Source organism: Homo sapiens, chromosome 21, assembly GCF_000001405.40.
Source record: "Homo sapiens chromosome 21, GRCh38.p14 Primary Assembly".
Classification (NCBI taxonomy): Eukaryota; Metazoa; Chordata; class Mammalia; order Primates; family Hominidae; genus Homo; species Homo sapiens.
Window position 1 is genome coordinate 19793239 of NC_000021.9, and position 3846 is coordinate 19797084.

At 37.1% G+C, this 3846-nt stretch overlaps 1 annotated feature.

The window, feature by feature from the left end:
* Window positions 324-524: a silencer, noted in NCBI's record as "peak4367 fragment used in MPRA reporter construct". NCBI's record gives its function as "represses an SCP1 promoter by STARR-seq MPRAs in K562 erythroleukemia cells {active_cell/tissue: K562}" and the evidence as "EXISTENCE:reporter gene assay evidence [ECO:0000049][PMID:32103011]".

Sequence of the window (3846 nt, forward strand, 5' to 3'; positions counted from 1 at the left end):
ATTATGAAAATAAATATATCGAATTTTAACACTACATATTTTGTTTTAAGAGCCTGTACCATTGTTTCAAAACTAACTTATTTATATTAGTATTCCAAAGACTGAATAAGCTAAGAATGGATTACTGCTGCTGAAGTTTTAGGATTTGTTTACTAGTGACATTCTTACCTCTAACTTTAATTCCAATATATTTATCATTATTTTGGTGGTGAGAAGCAACAACTATTTCTTACTTTACCATGTGTTTATTGTCGATTCCTTTTACTATTTTTGTTTGAATTTGTCATAAAGCTATTAAAGATGGAATTTTAAATAATTTTTATCCTCAATAACAAAATAAACAGCATCGTATATTGTGCTATGGTGAGTTACAAGCGTTAAAGTATTCATTATTCAGAAAGACTCTGTACACCACATACAGTTTGATGTAATCTGCAGTTATGTAAGAGTTGACATGGCAAGAATGTAGCTCAGAGAGCTGACTTACTTGTCTGATCAAGCTCCTAGTAAGTAACGAAGTAGTTATCCATACTCATATCCATTTTACTTCTGGGTTTTCCTAAACAAATGGTACTGTGTCCTTTAATTATTTCCTGGAATTATACAGTTTGATTCAGACCTTGGATAAATCTGAGCTACCAATATTGCTTTTGTTATATAACTGTCTGTATTATAAAGGTTTATATCCACCTCTGTTCCAACACTTTAGCTTGTACAAATGAGAGCATTTCATTGAAACTACTGGTGGGAACTAAATGAAAATCTTAAAAGCTATGTTACCAACACCTTTCTCTCTCTTAATTTTAAATCTGAAATTCCCAATTACTTTATAATTCTAAAATATTTGCTTTTATAATTCTATAATATCTCTTATTTAATGAATGACATTATAAAATTTAATTTAATATAAACAAGTGAATGATTTAGTTTCTTAGAATTAGAAAAAAATTTGGAGTAATACGAACAAGTGTGTGACAGAAATTTTACTTCTGTGATATTTCCTTATGCTCTCTTCCCTCCCTCCATTTTCCATGCCCCTTAGATTTAGAGACATGAAATCAGTTCTGGCCAGTGGACACTAAGAATAAATGTGTCACTTCCAGACAACGGCATTTAATACCTAGTATGTGATCTTTCTTTTCCCCAGCTTTGAAGAATCCTGTGACTATATATTAAGAAAATAGAGACTCATGGATATACCCTGATGATTAGCAAGAAATAGAACTTAATAGGGTTAAGCCACGGAGATTCCAAGGTTTATATTTTACTGCTGTATAACCTAGTCACTAATATAGAAACAGTTATTTTTGTTTAGGTTTTGTTTTTATAGACTATATTATTGCATTTCTTTTAATTATATCTTATTTTAAATTAGAAATAACTTGATATTATATTGCTTTCAATTTTCACATCCTATACCGTAATTTTGTTTTTCTTTGCTTGAATCACATAGAAATATTTTTGAGCAACTACAGTAAGACACTCTATAAGTTTTGAAGCATTATGATAAGGCATTTAGGGAAAACAGAGAGTGAGCTACTTAACTTTTTTTTAGTAAGGTCAGGAATTGCTCCCTAGAGTAGATGACACTGAGGCCTGGGCTTAGAGATGGATGGACGTTTTCCAGTGATACAACATGGCTTAGTTCATGTCACGCAAGAAACGAGAAATAAGAGAAGTTGTAAGTATAAAGAACTAAGAAAATATAAAGGGGCTCTAAACATGTTTTATTATTGAAACGAAGGGAACAAAACAGATAATTCGGTTGCTGATGGGGATGTACCATTAATTTACTTTGTCTTAAAATGACCATCTTTTTGATATTGAGGAATCTGGCTCCTGGTTTAAAACTTACAGGTGATTATTCAGGCCTGGCTACAGACCTACAAAAGTCTACAGTATACTATTAATGCTGTACCTATTTTTTGAAAGCAACTTGCTTTCCAATTTGGAAGGGATCTCCTAACAGTCTGCAAAGGTATTTCCTGGCAGGCCTCACAGGAAAGGCGGTGCACCGTGCACACTACGTGCTCCGTGCACAGCCAATACGCTGCTGTCTCTGAAAGGAGATGCAGTCAAGGACTCAGGATTCCCTGGCCAGCCATGCTCTTACATGACCCTCTTCCTCCCTATCTGAGGCCTTGGGCTGAGGTCCTTTTCCGGTGCCTCTGCTGAGGCCTTTGTAAGGGGAAAGGAAAGAACTTTTTGTTTGTTTATTTTTGTTTTAGACGGAGTCTCGCACTGTCGCCTGGGCAGTGGTGCGATCTCGGCTCACTGCAACCTTCGCCTCCCGGGCTCAAGCGATTCTCGTGCCTCGCCCTCCGGAGTAGCTGGGACTGCAGATGCGCACCACCACGCCCAGCAGATTTTTTTTTGCATTTTAGTAGAGATGGGGTTTCACCACGTTGCCCAGGGTGGTCTCAAACCGCTGAGCTCAGGCGATCCGCCGACCTTGGCCTCCCAAAGTGCTGGGATTACAGGCGTGAGCCACCACGCCTGGCCAGGAAAGAAAAATCTTAAAGACACTTTTCCCCATTCTGACTTAATATCCAGTATTTTTCCACGTTAAGCCTTTCCCTCTCATCCTTTCTCCTTCTTTCCACTTCAGGGTCCATAAAACTACCAGAGACTTTTGTTCTGGGCTCCCTCAACAATGAGACAGCCCACCTGTCTGCACTCATTCTTTGCTCTCCACTGCAGCACTGTTCCAAGGGGAAGAGGCACGTTCTCTCGATTTAGACTCTTGCCAAACCATCGCAGTCACTGATTTAAATCTTAAGTCTTTCATTTTTGTCTTGCATTAATCAGTTGCTCCAACACCTGACAACTTATTTCTTTCTCTCTCCCTTCTCAACTGAGCTCCTGACAGACATCTTTTATGCTACAGATTAAATTATAAACCCAGGTAGTGGACGACATAGTAGGTGTGGTGTAGTTTGCATTCAAAAACCTACAGTTACTATCAGTGTTGAACCTATTTTTTAAAAGCAGCTTGCTTTTCAATTTGGAAGGTGTCTCTTGACAGTCTGCAAATAGTGCAGCCTAAGGAACATCATTATGTAGTAGCATGAGGACAGTTTTACAAATTTATCTTTGATTTTCTTGTAAGCATATGTCTTTCCTGGAAATCTAGGGTGTATCTACTTTTTGCCAACCCTTTGTTATTAGAATTGCATCATCAATATAGTGGACAAAGGTGTTGTCCTTTGGGACATTGAGATTATCTTGTTATTTGATAGTAAAATTATAACATAGAGTAGAGAGGTTATATAACAATGAAGTAAAACATAAAAGGATATTGTTATATTTGCCAGCTGAAAACATGTTGCTTTCTGTGTTCACAACCTGTTGGTACAGACCAAAGAAAAGTTTCCAAACTGTCAGTTTCATGTCTATTGACAAATCTATGTTGATTTTCTTCAGTAAGTAAACTACACTGTAGGAACAACTATAATTGAGTTCATCATGTGGTTAAGTTTATGACGATCCACTGGTGTTCTCCAGGATCCCTACCTATTCTGCAGAGGCTAAACAGGCAAAACGAAAGAGGTTAAGTTAGCTATCCCAAATCTTGCTTATCCCAGGAATTGTTATTGTCATGGATTTATTTCTTGTTTAAGGAAATACACTTCCAGGAGTTTCTTCAGTGCCATTTAAGTCGCTACAGTTCTCATTATAGGGAGCAATGTAGGAATTGAAAGCACACGCCAACTGGTAAATAACCACAGGATGTATTAACACAGGATGGGTTCAAGTATCCACCAGGAACCCTCTAAGATGGTCTTCTGTCAATACTCTTTTTTCCACCAACTTTAAAGTTTCACTATAGTGGATTAGACTTTCATT